The 17,433-nt window shown below is 46.9% G+C and overlaps 1 protein-coding gene across 9 annotated transcripts in view, besides 2 other annotated features; it reads right to left on the minus strand.

The window, feature by feature from the left end:
• The window catches only part of SYT6 (synaptotagmin 6), a 64,578-nt gene continuing 47,833 nt past the window's right edge, over positions 689-17,433 (minus strand). For 4 of the 9 annotated variants that reach the window (NM_001270805.2, NM_001253772.2, NM_001366223.1 and 1 more), the window contains exons 4-8: positions 14,998-15,118; positions 10,491-10,662; positions 9,124-9,274; positions 5,132-5,200; positions 689-3,479 (exon numbers count right to left, since the gene is read on the minus strand). In NM_001270805.2, the coding sequence (NP_001257734.1) occupies positions 5,183-5,200; positions 9,124-9,274; positions 10,491-10,662; positions 14,998-15,118 (462 nt within the window). In that variant the 3' untranslated portion in view covers positions 689-3,479; positions 5,132-5,182. Of the gene's footprint in view, positions 3,480-5,130; positions 5,201-9,123; positions 9,275-10,490; positions 10,663-14,997; positions 15,119-17,433 lie in introns of those variants that run through there. The other 5 variants (NM_001366226.1, NM_001366224.1, XM_024453337.2 and 2 more) reach the window with 3 other exon arrangements.
• Positions 3,268-3,769: an enhancer, noted in NCBI's record as "H3K4me1 hESC enhancer chr1:114634493-114634994 (GRCh37/hg19 assembly coordinates)". NCBI's record gives its function as "activates a minimal SCP1, AML or CMV promoter by ChIP-STARR-seq in naive H9 embryonic stem cells {active_cell/tissue: H9 hESC(naive)}" and the evidence as "EXISTENCE:reporter gene assay evidence [ECO:0000049][PMID:30033119]".
• Positions 16,292-16,939: an enhancer, noted in NCBI's record as "NANOG-H3K4me1 hESC enhancer chr1:114647517-114648164 (GRCh37/hg19 assembly coordinates)". NCBI's record gives its function as "activates a minimal SCP1, AML or CMV promoter by ChIP-STARR-seq in primed H9 embryonic stem cells {active_cell/tissue: H9 hESC(primed)}" and the evidence as "EXISTENCE:reporter gene assay evidence [ECO:0000049][PMID:30033119]".

The raw sequence follows: 17,433 nt of genomic DNA on the forward strand, positions 1-17,433 counted from the left end.
ATTGCCACATCCTGCTGGCTGCTGGGTGACCTGATGGGAAGCCACTGGCAAGGGGAGGCTGCCTCTTCAGGCAGTAGAGTGCTGCTCTCAGCAGTTCAGCTCACTGGGCCTCTCACGGTGGAGCACCCCTCATTCAGATGCAGATGTGCAGGAATGGACGGTCCCTTCCACTCCCCTCTCTACGGACTGCTCTCTAAATTAATTAAAAGCTGCAGGCGAGCAGAGAGATATTCTATTACATTAGAATGTTCTTTTTTTAAAAAAAAATGTTGAGGCTGCAATAGTATTTTCCCATGGCTTTGCCAAATTGTGTTTTACGATGGTTAGCAGGATTCTCTACTGGTGGGTGACAGCATCGTACTTCCCAGATGTGTGTGGCCCACTTCCCTAGGGGAGCTTCAGCATCTGCAGGGGTTGCTTGTTGAGCTGAACAGCTGAGGGAACAGCGGAGCCCTGTGCGCCAAATGATCTCCGAGCCACAAGCCTGACAAAACACAGGTGGATTCCAGCCTGATGAGGTACACAGGTATTCCTTGGACAGAACAAAAAACAAACAAGCCGTTCTGCTCTACCTCTGATAGAAGGGAAGTGGTTATCCATGTGAAGCAAAGATTGAGAAGAAAAGCTTTGAGATGTCCTGTGCGTGTGTTGACTGCTAAACCCCAGGAACATAAAATGACAAGAGAAATGGGCAAGAGACAGAGATTTAATTGAATAAAAACTCCAGGCTGTGACACGGGTGGGAAGACACAAACGAGTAATTAACAACATAATATTTTAAATGACAGTGCAATTAATTAACGTCCTGGGTAAGCGCAGAGGGGGAGGAGGGCGTCTTTCAGCCCGGAAACACTGCTAAATAAAGGAGAAGGGAACTTTTCATGTTTTTTAAAAAAACCTATGTGCAAATGGCCCTGGTTATCACAACTTCATCAAAGCTCACAGCAACAACCCGAGAGGTTTCTCCGGCCAGAGAAAGCCAACAAATGGATCAACTTTGTATTTCATTTTCTTCTTCTCTGTGAGGGAAGAGATACTGGGCTAGATAATGAAGTTGGCAGATGTTCAGGTTTCATTCATGATTCAGGCTGAGGAGTAGTCTACCTTGAGGGTGCTGGGGATGAGGCTGCAGGAGATAAAAGCCTCCCTGGGGTGGGCTCCCAAGCCTGTAGGAATTGACCCAGACTGCTAGAGCAGCAGCGGTTGCAGTTGGCCAGGGTGGTGTGGGGCTGGCTAGAATCTGTTCAGGACATGATTTTCTGAAACCACTGGGATGTTCACTCATGGGAGATAGCTGCTTGGATATAAGAGGAATGTCTCAGATGAGCAATACTATTGTGATTCACATTGATCACACTCCCTTCTCCAAGAGGTTAGAATGGGTTATACTCACCTGCCTAAGGGTTTAACGATGACAGCTGGACATGAATTTTGAGTTCACTTCCAGAAGGACCTTCTCACACTAATTTCTGGACTCCTTATGACCCAGGGAACTCAGTTGTCTCCTTTGTAATGGCAAGGCCTTCAGCATCTGTTCACTGACGGAAACGACTATCTTGATGGGGTCAGTCTAGAGTCAGAATCATAATGAAGTCTGTCACCTGCCAGGAATCTTGTCATGACCTTGGGTTTTTTCTCACTCTCAGGAGAACACCCAAATGTAGGACTACCAGACTAGGAAGGCCTGTCAATGACAAGATATCTGGGGAGAAAAGTCATCTTTACACATGAGTCCCTAGCCTAAGGCTCAGTACAGGGTGGAGTTTAGGTTTATCTACATTTACTTTTCTAAGCAGAAAATTCCTTTTGCCACAATATCCTGTTAACTCATGCCCAACCTGGTCATTTTTAGGGCTAGAAGATACTATGCAGCGTTCTATCAGCAGAGAAATCTGACAACTTGGTTTAAAATGAGGGATACTTTATTGGTCGCTGCTCCTCTACCATGTAGCATATATAAAGAATAAGACACAGGTGTGTGAACAGATTTTCTGTTCTTGATTTTCCACTGTTAAAAGAAGGGGTTCTTCAGCAGACTTGCCTCTTGCAAGTAGTACACACAGCTCAGGAAACTGGCACTGTGTCGCCACAAGTCGAAGTAGAAACTCACCTCCATGCGCTTACTGGGGTTATACAAACTGAGATTGAGCAAATCAACCTGGTTTTAGGGGTTGGTGGGAAGACCACTATTAACTCAACAGAAATGTGCTATTACAACACAGAATAGTTCAAACAATTTTTTTTTTCCTAAACTGAGTTTGGCCTAAGGTAAAGATCTAAAGGAAACAAGAAACCCTCACAACCACTGAAACAAACAACACTGAAGTACTTAGTAATTTATAGAACTAAAGTTTAAGATGAATATTGTCAAAGAGCCAAAGGGGCTGAAATAGGCTTACGCTGACTCGGTTTCAATCAAAAACATACTCTTCATAGAAAGATGGACTCAAACTGCTATTTGGATTTCAAAACTCCCCATTTGGAAAAGAACATTTAATCTAGGTTTTTCTTTAATCTGTTTAGGCATTTTAAACAGCAGCTTGATACTTCATGGAATTATAAAGCTATGTATAATGCAGAAATCATTCCAGAACATATGTTTCTCTCTTACTTTACAATCAAGATTATTTCTGAGGACAAAGATCCTGTTTTCAAACAAATGTGATCATTAACTGTGGCGCATCAGAAAACATATGGCGTGTTTAGTTTCGGCTGAACTGAATCATTCCTAAAGAAAGTGACTAAGTTCCCATGAGGAATCAAGACGTTTTCAATTCATGGGGAAAGCCAGCGAGGAAGGGGAGCGAGGAACCCTGCACATCAGCTGAAGGCTCACAAGCGCCTCAGAGGTCTTGTGATTTCAACACGGGACTGAGGGTCCCAGCGTGGTTTATGTCCTGCCAGCGAAGAGCTTCAAAGACTAGTAATTCACCTCACAAAGGCTCTTCCATGGATTCACCCCATTCCTGCAGGGCACTGAAAATGCAGCCGCAGTCCCACCACGCCTCCTCCTTTTCCAGGGTTGTGGAGCTTGCTGGAGACGCAGCATTTCAGAAACTCAATCCACCTCTTTCCAAAAAACTGTACCTTGTATTTTCTAGAACCAACTTCTGGGCTTTCCACCCTTTGTCTTTTCCTACTCTTTTTTTTTTTCCCTTTTCTTACCAGCAGACCCATAAAAAGTGAAAAACCACAAAAACATCACCTTGGGAGACACAAAAGACTAAGACAGATCTGACCACATGACAAGTGTCTCAGCTTTGACCTACACAGGAGCAGGTAAGACTCTGGAGTGACGGACGGCTGCCGCTGCTGCCGCCACTGCGACTGCACAACACTGTTTAGACGGTTGAACAAGTGCAAAGAGAACATTGCTGAGTCCCATTTGTGTTATTTGGCTGCACATCTCATGGTGTTGGAGGTGGTTTCGGAGATGGGCACGAGCTCTCACTGTCGAAGCTAGCAGCTCGGCCCTGCCACTGCAAAGAGGAGAACAATCTGTTTATTAATTGCTAAAGGAATTTACATTTCAACTTGCAAAACTGAACTGGCCCAATGCACTGAATTCACCTTTCCTAGCTTCTCATAAGCTTTCTTGAATTTTGCTGTCAGCCATGCAAAAACATAAGGGAAACAGCTTAGAGCTTCTAGTTTGGAATACCTGATTTTCAAAAAGACCTACTGCAGAGATAATTAAAGCTTTCTTAACTCTCTCTCTCTCTCTCTCTCTCTCTCTGTGTGTGTGTGTGTGTGTGTGTGTGTGTGAGAATGAGGTGCTCTGACTGGGCCATTTCTGTGTGCTTCAGCCATTTTTCACACTGAAAATCATATTATGTTAGCAGCGAAAGAGGCAGTGTGCAGAATATGTCCTTACTGCCAAGAACCCATGGTCATGCATTATTAGCAATTTGTCTGGGAGCTGACAGTACAGCTAAAAATCTGATACTGCTTTAGCTTTGAGCTGTCTCCTTTGTTTTTCATTCTTCCTATGGGCATTTGCACCTGACTTGTGGAGAGGTAGAGGTGTGAGCAGACCCTTCTGGGCTTCTGCAACCCCTTTCTCCTCCCCAGTTCTCCTAGGTCACAGACTGCCTCCTATCAGCCTGACTCTAACCCTTCTGTGAAAGGGGTGATGTAATGAGGCGTAATGGAGTGAAGGACAGGGCTGAGGCTGGGTGGACTTGAACCATTCAATCCTTCTTTAACCAGTCATCGCTGCAGCAGTCATAACCCCAGCAATATTTACTGAGCAAAGATCTGACCCCATGAATATTCTTGACCTGCCTGGGGGCTTTATGTTAATAACTTCAAAGTGAGTCAGTGTCCACTGCTCACCCATCCTTGGAGTGGGCTGAAGAGACCCAGTACTGTCCTGGGTGTCTGCAGGACAGAGCTCCAGAGTTAAGAGGTAGGTAGGTGGTCAAGATGGCCTTCCTGACCTGGAAGTGCAGCCCCTTCTGCTTCTCATGAGCGTTGAGGGTCTCCACTATGGAGTGAGGGGGCTGAGTAGAAGCTGCTACTATGCATCATGCATACATGGAGGTTTGGGGTCGGGGGAGGATGTGGTTCTCCCTCAATACAGCCATTCCTAGAAGGGCCGAGCCACCTGAGGAATAGATCACTTTCTATCCAGCATCACCTGCGGAGTAGATGGGAAACCCATGAAGTTCAGGAAGGACCCAGACCTACTAAACTACCTTAATGCTTTCAATTCTAAGGAAAGCTTCTGTTACCCTTCTCTGGGCTCGGTTCTTCATGGGCTTCTTAGGACTCCCTGTTCAGGCCAGCTGAAGATCTTTATGACTAACCAAAGGCCAGACAATCAGGTACCGATGACCACCATTATGTGACCTAGACCTAAGCAATCTTAGCATGTCAGCACTGGAGGCAGGCTTGGAAGCTGATCCAGTCTAACCTTCTTGTTCTCGCAAATAAGAAAACAAAGACAGAGAAGTCAAGACACAGCTAGCTAGGGGCAGAGCCAGAACCCGAAACCAGGTCTCCTAACACCCAACCAAGTGTTCTTTCCACTCCATCCTGCTGCTATCTCAGCATCTGGCCACACTAGGGGAAGAAGGAGACAAAAGGTAATAAGCAACCTAACGTCTTTGGGTCCACACCAGGTACTTACTCCTAACTCCAGGTGGCAGTCTCTCTGCTTGCAGCATCCACGTGAATGAAATCACAACCGAGGGTTTCCCTGGTGAAATATTTTAGATAAATAAATGCCTGGTTGTTGAGGCCACTGTGGCTTCTGACTCAAGTGTTTCTTAACCAGAAGGTGACAACACATGATTACTAATGCTCTTATTTAACAGACCTTCATTTTAGGAGTTCTACTTTTCTGTTACAACCTTTACTGTTGGTGAAAGGTACATTATAATCACTGGCTTCTTCCCTGAGTAAGCATGCCACTTAAACAACCTGACTGATAGGCCAGGTCAGAGGAGAAAACATAAAAGGACTACACAGAGTGTCTTTCTTCCTTTATGTAACAGCCCAAAGAGTAGTAGCAGGGAGCATAACTGTTTATCTAGAACAAATGAAGAAGGAACACTGGCTCCCCTGCTAGTCTGAGTTTTCCTATGAAGATAAACAAAGGGAGGAGATGGGGTTTGTGGACAATGGAAAGGCGAATGATTCCAGGAGGCTTACAGTGGCTCTGAAATGGCAGCATACCTGTCCCCAGCACACAGGGAGATTATTGTTTCAGAATGCCTGTGTTCCAGTAAGGTCTTTTGTTGCTCTGAAATGGGTCACGTTCCAACAGAGATTTAACATCTCTGGCAGATGATCTGAACCCGGCCCCCGTAATAAAATGCCTTGGAGAAGAGCGCTGGTCAACTCTGTGTGTGGTAACAATGATGACACATGGCTCTGGGCTGAGAGGGAAGGGGGCTGGTGCTGCAGCTGGGAAAGGCCACTTGTGATGGCTCAATGAATTTTTATTTATGAAAGAATCCCAGCAGGGAAAGACACCTTTTCAGTTAATTTGTTCCCCTCAGCCTTATTTTGAGCCCCAAACAAGTGAGCAAGTATAATGCCCTCTGTTCTCATTAATAAAAAAGAAATGATCACAGCACTTGAAAATCCCTTAAGAAAGGTTCAAGATAAATACAGAGGGCTTTGCGGATATGATGCCATTTATCTTCCCAGGAGCTGGAGGAGATTTCTTTATGATTATACAAATGGGAGATACAAGTTTCAGGAGCAAAGTTCTTGCTCAATATCCAGAACGGGAACGAAAAGAAGGCAGGATGTGAGCTCTGAGGATGAGCGGGAGGATTGCCTCCAAGCACAATGCATCGCGTGGACACAAGGTGCTTACTTAATGTCAGCCCTGTGGGGGTTTACATGCATTTTAATAAAGATATTTAAACTGTGGGCGCTAAATGTGTCAGTGACAATTTTAAATAAACGTGAACTATGGAAATCCCAGGTTGCTGAGACGAGTGTCATTTTTAGCTTCTTGATATAGAGAATGATCAGCTGAGCAGAAAATGGCAGGATCGTGCGTGGGGGAGGGGGCATTCCTGGGAGCTTGGCCTGCAAGGTCAGGAAAAAAGTAAACCCAAAGGATATCAATTTATTCTCTTTTTGTTTTCCATATACTGTTACTTTCCCATTACTGTCTCATCAAATATTCATTTTCAAGGGCTTGATTCTATTTTATCTTTCTTTTGTAGTCTGAACCAGTGAGTTAGAGTTCTCAAAGAAACAGGGACTTGGAATCAATTATTTGGCTTAATTAGGTTATATTCATCATGAAGGAGAGTGATTCTGGGGCCAAGTCCTGGCCCATCTGTGGTACTCAACACCCCACCCCCAGCTGTAGCCGCTGCTCTGTCACTTTCCATTTTCCACAGGCAGGCCCAGCCTGGTAACAGGGATGGGTTATTGCGGATTGAAGATTAGAAAGGCAGTCACAGCACAAGATGGGGGCTCACGGGCCCAGCCATTGCTTAGGGTCAGAGTTTCCTAGAAAAGCAAAGATGGGAAGGGCTTATCCCCTCATTTTACCAAGGAACCCAAAGACCAGAGTGGGGCAGTGAGTTTTCTTTTCTTTTTTTTTTTTGAGATGGAGTCTCGCTCTGTTGTCCAGGCTGGAGTGCAGTGGTGCGATCTCAGCTCACTGCAAGCTCCGCCTCCCGGGTTCACGCCATTCTCCTGCCTCAGCCTCCAGAGTAGCTGGGACTACAGGTGCCCGCTACCACACCTGGCTAATTTTTTGTATTTTTAGTAGAGACGGGGTTTCACCGTGTTAGCCAGGACGGTCTCAATCTCCTGACCTCATGATCCATCCACCTCGGCCTCCCAAAGTGCTGGGATTACAGGCATGAGCCACTATGCCTGGCTGGGCAGTGAGTTTTCTAAGGCCCTACAGCCGACCAGAGGCCTCTTAGCTCTCATTCCATGCCCTCCCCCTAAGCCACCCTAAACAGTTTAGTATACTTGTTCTATTCTTAAATATCTCCAAAGGAAGATAAGTGGGGGAGGAGGGGTGGTGGGGTGGATGGGGCTGTCATGACCTCTCCCTGGGTTGAACCAACACAGCCTTCAGTGAGGTGCTGGATGCTGTCTGCAGGTTGTCTAGCGTTCTGCCCAGCAGTGCCTCCTGTATTGTGGGCTCCTCACCCACACTCTGCAGAAAGGTCTTTCTGGAAAAGAGGGGCAGGGGCTCCCCTGGGGGAGCTGAGAGATGAGGGACTGGCCTCACTCATTAAAGCTCCACAGCTATGGGACAATCAAGGCACCCACAAGACAGAAATATGAAGCCTCAACTGCCAGAAACTTTGCTTCTTTTTATCTCTTGATGCTGCCCCAAAGGTCACAGGGCAGGAGCTGCACAGAGCACATGCTGCCTGTCTAGGGAGGTGATTCAATTAGCCTGTCCTCCATCCCCCAACAACTGAGGTCCTTATCACCTATGTTTCCATGGGTCCAATCCCCTTGGCTCTCAGGCTCTCCTGAGACACCTCAGCCTGCCAGAAACAGGTGGAAATGGGCTTGTCCTCCATGAGAGGGCAGGGAGCCGGCAGGTTCTATGGGTTTGCAGACCTGACTTCTCTGCATCATAGAGTGTGGGGAGGGGATGACTCTGTTTTGAAGGTGACTCCAATTTTAAGCCGAGGGGCCATGCAGTGAAAGGGATAAAGCTTTATTTTGTATTAGTAGAATTTCCAATTTATACAGCTCTCTAGACTTGTTAGGTTTGAAGCCTGTTAAGATGACAGAATATTCATCCAGCTTTCTAGGATACAGACCGAGGTATGAGATATTGTGAGTGAGGTTTAAGCCTTGTTTGGTCACCCACACTTCCAATCCATTTGAGAAAAAGCAGGCCTGGGGACCACCACGGTGATAGAATACAGGATCCTAAGTCGGTGGGATTCAGCGGAGGGTGGAGAAGTTTGCAGATATTACTCAAAGGGATATTTTCTTTGCAGTTGAGGGAGAAGTGACAGGGTCAAGATTATACAGCAAGTCAGGAGGGGCCAAGATTGCAGCCCAAGTCTTGGGACTCCCAGCCCAGTGCTGTCTCCATTACGTCTCTGTTAGAACCCAACGCAACCCAGCTCCACAGCTTTAGCCAGAAAGCGTGACACCTTGAGGCCATGCTCCCTTCCCCAACAAGGGCAAGAACCAACATTCATAAGAGGAGGAATCTGCTCTTTGGCATCTCTATCCAAGCAGTGAAAACTGCCAAGTGACTTCCTTGCTTGAGCCTCAGGGAACTTACTGTTCTGACAGGGGTAGAATGTCTTGCCAAGCTCTGATCTCACCCCCTTGGGGCTTTCTCCTAAAGGACAGACTTGGCCAAGGGCTTTGTGAAAGCATTTCAGACCTGGCACAGTGGTCTGCTGGGAAGTCTTCTTCACAGTTCTTGCTTTCCATTAAGAACTCAGTGTTGCTTTCAAAATGCCCAACACCAGGGGCTTTGTGTTGGCAGCCTCCACCTTCTTCCTCCATTTCCTTTTGGCCTATTACACACTGGGTAAGAAGCATGTGGCCCTCATGCCCACCTTTCCACAAAAGGCCGAGGGTGTCACTGCAGCTGACTGCCATTCTCCAGCCCACACTGCCATGCAGCAAACATGCCAAGGGCCAGGTGACCTCACCCACCTCTTTGAAGGATTTCTTTACCTCCACCAAGGAGTGCCAGTGTGCGATGGGCTTCCGGGGGTATGCCAGCATCTCGTTCCAGTGGTCCCTGCCCAGGCCTTCAGCAGTGATCCCCACACGACAGACTCCTATGATCTCATTGTGGCCCACTCTGAGGGAGAAACAAAAGTCCCAGCACTGGCTACCAGACATGCCCTCAGAAAAGGAGGTCCAGTGTGGGGGGTGGTAGGACTCTGCCCGATGGGTCTAACTCAGAACTCTGAGCTCTGAAAACAGATGCTTGGCAGGGCTTCTGGGTGTCAGTGGCGGTGAAGCCTTTGCCTAGTCCCCTTCAGTGGACACTGGACACAGGCAGATGAGCAAAGGTTATAAACTTGTTTGGAATCTCAAGAAGTGGTGGGCAGATAGCCTGAGTATGCGAGGTGAGACAGTCTAAGTCTCTTCACTTATTTGACCCCGCCAACACATTACAACCTCACTGAGACATCAGTATTTGCAAATAAATCGACAGTCTCTGAGCACCATTTCTCCAAAACCCCAGTGGCTGGAATGTGATTTATTCACTCGGTAAGAACATCAATTATCTCTTAAGTATGTTCGTCAATACTATGCCTGAGAACTTGGGCTGAAAGTCCTGTATTGAGGCTTTATTGCATGGTTTCTTTCTCCTTTAGCTAAAGTGACAAGTGGAGAGAAGAAGTTATGGGGACCAGAGTAGTTGAAAAATGTTTTTGAGCCAGCCTAGATGGAAGAGCAGGATGAGTGGAAGAGACGAAAAATATCTGAGGAAGGGGAGATCCGATTGGATGGATATGCTGGGTCCAGATTAGGGAAGGCCATCAGAGTCCAAGGGAAAAGCCTGGATCACAGGAGCCATTGATGGTTCTTGAGAAGGGCAGGTCCAGGAAGAAAGCTGTCATTTAGGAAGATGTGTCCTTAGTATGTTGACCGAATTGTGGCAGGAATTGATGGAGGCAGGGGTCAGCTAGGAGGCTGCACAGCCATCCCAGGGTGACAGTAGTAGCAACAGCAGAAATAGAGAGGATAGAGGGGCATTTCAAAGGCCAGATAATAGGACTTGGTGCCAGATGGAAGAATGGGAATAGCAAGGGGTGAATTCAGGGAAACTGATGGACAGAGCTGCCCCTGACGGAGATAGGCCAGTTGGGAAAAGAACTTTGAACCTTTGCTAAGGGAGAATCTATGCTCTTCCTCAAACTCCTGCACCCTTCTTGGGTACAGATAGATTTGAGGCCTGAACCCTAAAGCTGAGCCCTGAATCACAAGGTCTAAGGTCAAGGAGCCCTGTGCTGGTGCTGGAGTGGGAGTGAGGGGTAGAATTACGTCCCTCTAGGACGCCTACCTACCGATCATAGTCCATGACTGAGATGAGCAGGCTGACTTGATCCATGTTTTCCGGGGGAATGTCAAAGATGATGGCCTCATTGTAGACAGGATTGAGAGTGTTTTTCTTTATGGTTGTTTTCTTCTTCTTCAGCCTCCGCCCATCACAGAGCAAGGACACTTTCACATAGGGATCTGTGCCAATGGGGACAGAGAAAAGGGAATGGAGTATGTTAAACAGATGTCTGCAAACATCATTTGCAGCAAAGGGACCGAAGCCCTAGACCTACTGCTGCTCATCAGATGGTATCAGTGGGTTGTTAAAATAATTAAACCACCTTGTATTTATGTAGCACACCTGTCTCTGAGGACACTCTGTGCTTAATAAATGCAGAGTCTTTAGCTACCTCAGTATTCTTGGGAGAGCGCCTAATGGACTTTTACTAATGGGGAAGCTGGCCCCATATCAGACATGACACCTGCCGATAGGTATGCAGTTCACAGCCCTAAATCTCAGCTCGTCAATCCCTGGCTGACTCAAAAAGGTGATGAGGCTGAACAATGACACTATTTCTTTTACCTATGTGGAGTACTATTCTTTGAGTGGCTTTTTTGTTTTACCAGAATTACAAACCAAAGGATAAAGGTTTTGGGGCGGGGTAAAAATAGGACTCAACAATGGCCAGGGAGACACAATGTGTCAGAGTGAAATGAACAGCAACAATCACAATGCTGTTCATGTCCTCCCCACCTGACAACATAATTTTGGGTCCCATTGTCTCAATAATCCCATTTCCATTTGGCATCTAGAAGGCGTGAAGTGGCCCTGCTCTCTGCTTCCCTGGAAGCCATTTCCTGCCCACTTCTGGACAGTGGAGAATGAGGGAGCTGTGGCCCGGGGAGACTCAGGGCAGCTGGTTGACATTTCCTTTCTCAGTGGGATCTTGGATTCTCTCCATCCTGCAAAGAGATGCTTTTATTGAACTTCCATGTGCCTCCCATCCTTTTGTTTTCTTTAGTTTTCTGAATGGGTATTTCATGGTCATCTTTCTACCCTGAAATTTTCTACTCACCCAAGTGAAGTGAAACCTAGTGTATCTCATAGCACAGGTGTCTCGGTCACCATCATAATTGTTATTTATGCTGCACAGCTCAAGAAATGGGAGGGCGGCTCACAGGTAATAATAGCTTTCGAGACGCTGATGTGCTGAGACACCTTGTTGCCCAGAAGCCAGGGCTCCTGTGAATCTGTCAGGAGGTGCCAGCCAAGCAGCTGCTCCCCAGCTCTGTGATTCATAGGCATATGGTTCTATCTCCTGGACATCGAGCACCCACTAGGGCCCTGTACTCCCTGGCATCATTCAGATGGCAGATGAGGCACACATCCCTGGTGGAAATTAGGGAGAACTGTGACACCTGATCAGAAACTCCAAGCCTGAAAGGCATTTTTGTAGACACCTAAATGAGCTGCCGACTAATCCATGTGGCAGCAGTAGCTATGCCTTAACCATGGGGAGATGAGGTTGGGTTTATGGAGAGACCATGAGGTGTTTAATCAACCTGCTGTCTCAAACTACACATTTGAAAGGACCCTCTCTTAGGGATTTTCAGTAAAATGGAAGTAAGAGTTTTGAGAACCGGCATGAGGCTCTGGTTTCCACAGATTCCATTCTCTATGGATATGCCCCAGGACATTATTCAGGTTCAGGTAGACAGATGGGCAGAGCTAGCCCCAATACCTGTCTTTAACACAGCAGCTTGCAAAATCCATAAGGATGTACCTTTTCTTGCAAAGTGGCTCCAGACTTGAGGTTGCTCAGGTGCCGCCTCATTCCCCTGCTCTACCTATTTCCATACACTCCCACATCAGGGCAGATTTCCATATCATGAGGCTTGGAAAAATAGAGGCAGAGCCACTTGTCCCATGGGCCACTGAGCAAATGTCTTAGCAACCTTCCCCAACTCTGTTCATCCTTACAAGGCATATCCATTTTTTTTTAAGAGACAAGGTCTTGCTGTTTTGCCCAGTCTGGTCTTGAACTTCTGGGCTCAAGTGATTCTTCCACCTCACCCTCCCGAGTAGCTGGGATTACAGGCATGAGCTACTGTGCCTGGCTGATATGAAATTTATAAAATTCAGTGCACATATTTCCCTTGCAGGAACCAACACTTTCACCAGCATCCATGAAGCCAAGCAGACAGATGACCGTTCCCTAGGCTTTTCTGGGGCAAAAGTCTGCGGTTTCTAGTGGAATGCTGGCCCCAGATGATCTTGGAGGTCCTTTCCTCTCTAACAGCCTATGATGCTCTACGCAGCTGAGGGAGGGGACACAAAGACCAGCAGTGTATTTCAGCCTCATTGTCATGGGAGCAATCAAAATCCAGCATTTAGAATGTGCTCACCACCCCTTTGTAGCATACTGGTCCTTATTATTATTTTGTGCTATTTTTAGTGTCATGGTTCTAGCAGATAGGCTTAGAGAATTGATTCAGGGCTAGTTTAGATCATTGAGAATAGGAAGATCCTGGGTTTTAGACATCAATGCCACACAATTCAAGAATAGGCAATTAATAAGCTCCATTCAATACCTAGCTTAGTCCAACATCGAATAAGTCTGGGCTGAGGGAAACCTCAAACTCATCCTCAAGAACAGGAGATCTAGTTCGAGAGGCTCCTAGCAAGTACACCCCCACTGCTTCACCCTTGGGCCAGGTTCCTCATGCTGTAAATTCAACCATCCATTCATTCGGTATCTATTTATTGAATGCTTACTGTGTTTTATCCACTGTTCCAGATACTTGCTTACATCAATGAACAAAATAGACAGAAACTTGTAATGAAAAGAAGACCCCTGGATCTTCGGAATCAAGCCAAGGTTTAATAACAGGTTCCAAACCCAGGTCAAAAAGAGGGGCAATTGTGAAAGGGAGGTTAGAACTTAGCAAGAACAAAATCTCACACCCCAAACCCTCTGATTCAGAGCAGCTTTTGTGATGACCTCAGCAGCTTCACCATAGGCTTTCTCTCCAGCACATCAATTTAATTACACCAGAGAAGATAGTGTGGGGACTTAGGCAGCAAAATCCTATTTCCCTCAGCAGCCTTGAGAGTCTTCAGTGAATTTTCTTCCCTGTTATGCACTTATTTTGGTATTAAAATGAAATCTACATTGGCTGTATTTTAGGGGAAGCTGACTTGCTGCTGCCTAAGCTTTTCCCAGGCCAGAAGAGGTCCGTTAATCTCTTCCCCACATCCTGATGTGTGTGGGTAGCTCTGAGGGACTCAGAGCTGCAACAAACACATGTTACTCTAGGGTTTCCTGAGCACCTTGTCCTGAAACTTCAGTTTTCAAGGCCTGATACCTCCTCTTCTTCCAGTTGCACCAGGTTACACCTGAGCCCAGGTGTTTTCGGCTGGGCCATCACCTCTTTCCAGCAACTGATTATACCCAAGACTCAAGCTACTCCTCTGTTATTTCCAAACTCAAATACCTTCTTCCACAACTTAGGGGGTTTCCAGCAAATAAATAAAGAATACAAAGCAAATATGAGGAAAAATCTTTAATATATTCCCAGCTAAGTTCAGAAGCACCTCCTGAGTGGTTTTACGTTGGTAATCTGAATCATCGAGAGTCTCTTGAGCAGGAGGACAGGGGATCTAGGGAAACAAACTGAGCTTTTTTCCACATTTGCAATTCTGAGTGCAGCCCAGACCAAGAGGCTTCACCCCATTTCACTCCTCAGAGCAGTCTGAGCTGATGAGGGAAGGAGGCTCCCAAGACTCAAGCTACTCCTCTGTTATTTCCAAACTCAAATACCTCCTTCCACAACTTGCAGAATTGTGGGGAAAGACTCAAACCTCTGACACTACGTCCATCCTGCAGGTCTCTGTGCAGCTGCCCCCAAACAAGCATTTCCTCTGTCGCTAGAATAAGACTATATTTCTATGTTCCTGCTGTACCTAGCAGCTCTCTTGGTGCTGAGGCTGAGGCCAGGAGGCCTGCAGCAAAGCCTCAAATACAAATGCATTTTGCTTTTCAGTGGATTTGTTTCCTTGGCTCAGTGCACAGAATTGCTGCCATAAGCCTGCATAGACCGGCAAACATTTACACACTCAAACGACATAACCCTGGGGCCTCACATAAATAAGAAAACTTATCCTTAATTTTTAAATCCTATATATTTACTTCTTGTTATCTCCCTCTTCTAAGAGAAAGAATGACAGCAACAGATGATATCTACTGAGTGCTTATATGTGTAAGGCACCATTCTGAACATTTACATGAATTAACTCATTTCTCCTGAAAGCAACCCATGTAAGATATTATTACTCCCACTTTTCAGACTAGAAAACCAAATCATTTACACAGCAAAGAAGTGGCAGAACTGGAATTCGAATCCAGGCAGTTTGTGTCCAGAGCTGGTGCTTCTATTCTAAGAATGCTGACAATTCTTTCTCCTTCTCCCCGAACACCCTTCCAAATCCTAATGTCTGGGCTGCTGGCAGGCCACTTGGGTTAAGAGAGGTACCTGAATAGCCTGTGATGTCCATCGCCTTGAGGTTCCGACACTTAATCACTGTGAGGGTGAGCCTGCCTGCAGTGGGCAGGTAGCAAAGGGAGAACATGATCTCTCCCAAGTCCACGCTTTCCTGCAAAGAAGCACACAAGAGGGCAGATGAGGGGCTTGCAGACCATGGGCCTCATGTCCAGTGCAGTATCTGCTGGGGCGCTCTGGGGTCAGGAGGAGGCTCTTGGAGACACTGTGCTGTGTTTTTAAGACTAAGGGACTGGCCTCCATGCTGCAAGTAACAGGGTATAAAAGGCAATGGAAACAATATTGCCTCTTCAGTACAATTTGCCCCTTCCAATATTCCCTCTCAATGTCAACCACATTCTGACCCTGGTCCTTGCTGTTCTGCTTTTGGCCTGACTTGATCTCCATGCGCCCCTTGGCTGCAGCCTCAAACCACCAGCCCCTTTGTGGCCTCTTCCTGTTCTCCTCCAGCCCACCCTTCTCAGTCACTGACCCCCTTGACTTCCTGCCCATCCAGGCATGTGGTCATGACAGTGTCCTGGACAAGACACATGCTCTAGACTTCAGCTGTCCCCTCTCCCAGCAGGTCCATGATTCTTTTCTTCTTCTGCCCCTCAGTGCAGTTGTTCTTTGTCAATCACAGCCAACCAAGGAGACAAACACTTTCCATCCCATCTGATGGCAAGTGTTTGATGCCAGGCCTCAGGTCCACTTTCTCTTTTCTCCTTAAATGTGGTCATCCTTTAAAAATAAACCCAGCACAGAGCACACGCTCTGCTGCCTCTCCTAACCCCAGAATTGTCATGGCCAGGGATTCCTGGGAGTTTCTGAGAGAACAGGAAAACCTCAAAGACAGTAAGCACACCCATCTGTGGCATTAAACAGTGCCTTGCCAGGTTGCTTCCTCCATTTGATGAAGGAGGGCGCTGTCACGGTGAAGCCTCCTCCCACAGGTTTGAGGAGGGACTCCAAGATATGGAGACATTTCCTCCCATAGGGCTTCCAGAGTCAGGTTTGAGGAGGAAGAGGTCAGCGTTTAGGGTGATTTCAGATGAGGCCCTCCATCCATCCATCCATTCAGTAATTCAGTCAGTTAACAACTATTTATTGAGCACCTGTTATGTGCTAAGTGTTGATCTGAGTGCTAAGGATATAGGAGAGAACAAAACAGACAAAAATCCCTGTTTTCATGGAACTTAAAAAATAAATTTCAACTTAAAAAAAATTCCACCTTTTATTTTAGGTTCAGATTCAGAGGGTACATATAGAGGTTTGTAACATGGGTATATTGCATGATGCTGAGGTTTGGGGTACAGATGATCCTGCCACCCAGGTAGTGAGCATAGCACCCAACAGTTAGCTTTTCAAACCTTGCCCCCTCCCTCCCTCCCGACTCTAGTAGTCCCCAGTGTCTATTGTTGCCATCTTTACGAGTGGAGCTTACATTTTATTAGGGCAAAGGACAATAAAGGAGGTAAGTATATAAGTTAGATAGTCAAAAGTATCAAGGAGAACAAAAGGCAGAGAAGTGGAATATAAAATGACCAGCAGGAGGCTACAGTTGTTGAATGTTTAGCTAGAGAAGACCTCTCTAAGGAGATAATGACTTCTGGGAGAGAGAAGAGTCGAGGGTGACACCAGGGTTTTTGTCCATTCTCCTTGCAAAGAGCCACCCTCTCCTGGAGACTCCTACAGCCCTGTTCCCCCCCTGGAGAATAAGCCAAGGCCCTGTCTCCCCCTACCTCCAGAGCCTGCGCTCACCGCACTCTCCTCTAGGCAGCCCTGACACCCTCACCCTCTTTTCCTAGCCCTAGATTTGTCTTTTTGTCCAGGCCCCCGAAAAAAGTCACCCCCCAAATCAAATTCTAGGAACAGCAGAAGGTGAATACCCCCAGCTTCCCAGGAAGGGCCTGGCTGGGGCCAGGGCGGGGCACACTGTGGAGACAGCCACCCCTCCTGCACACAGAACCACGTGGCCTCCGCAGAGCCAGCCATCCCACACCAGCCCCTGTGAAGCGCCTCCATGAAGATCACTTCCAGCTGTGAGGCTCTCAGCAACTCTGCGAGGCAGGCTTGTTGGCATTTTCCCCTCCATTTCACGGACGAATAACTTGCTCAGGTTTACAAGCCTTGCCAGCTGCTTGGACTCGTGACTCTCGAGAGAGTGGTCCTTGCACTCCGCTTTTGAGCAATGCCCTTCCAGCTCATCTAGGAAGCTGCTCAAGGGAACCCTCACCCTTCTGCACCTTGGCTTACATTCCATCCACTTGTTCATTTTTGTTTCCATTCGTATTTACAGAGTGCCTGCCAGAGGCACCATGCTTTGTGGAGAGTATGCAGTCCCCACCCTCGACATGCAGATGGTCTAGCGGGGCGTAACCAGTTAAAAGAAGGTGCTGGAGTCCCCATCTCACTCAGGTGCATCTCCTG

The sequence above is a fragment of the Homo sapiens genome, chromosome 1 (genome assembly GCF_000001405.40).
Source record: "Homo sapiens chromosome 1, GRCh38.p14 Primary Assembly".
NCBI lineage: Eukaryota > Metazoa > Chordata > Mammalia > Primates > Hominidae > Homo > Homo sapiens.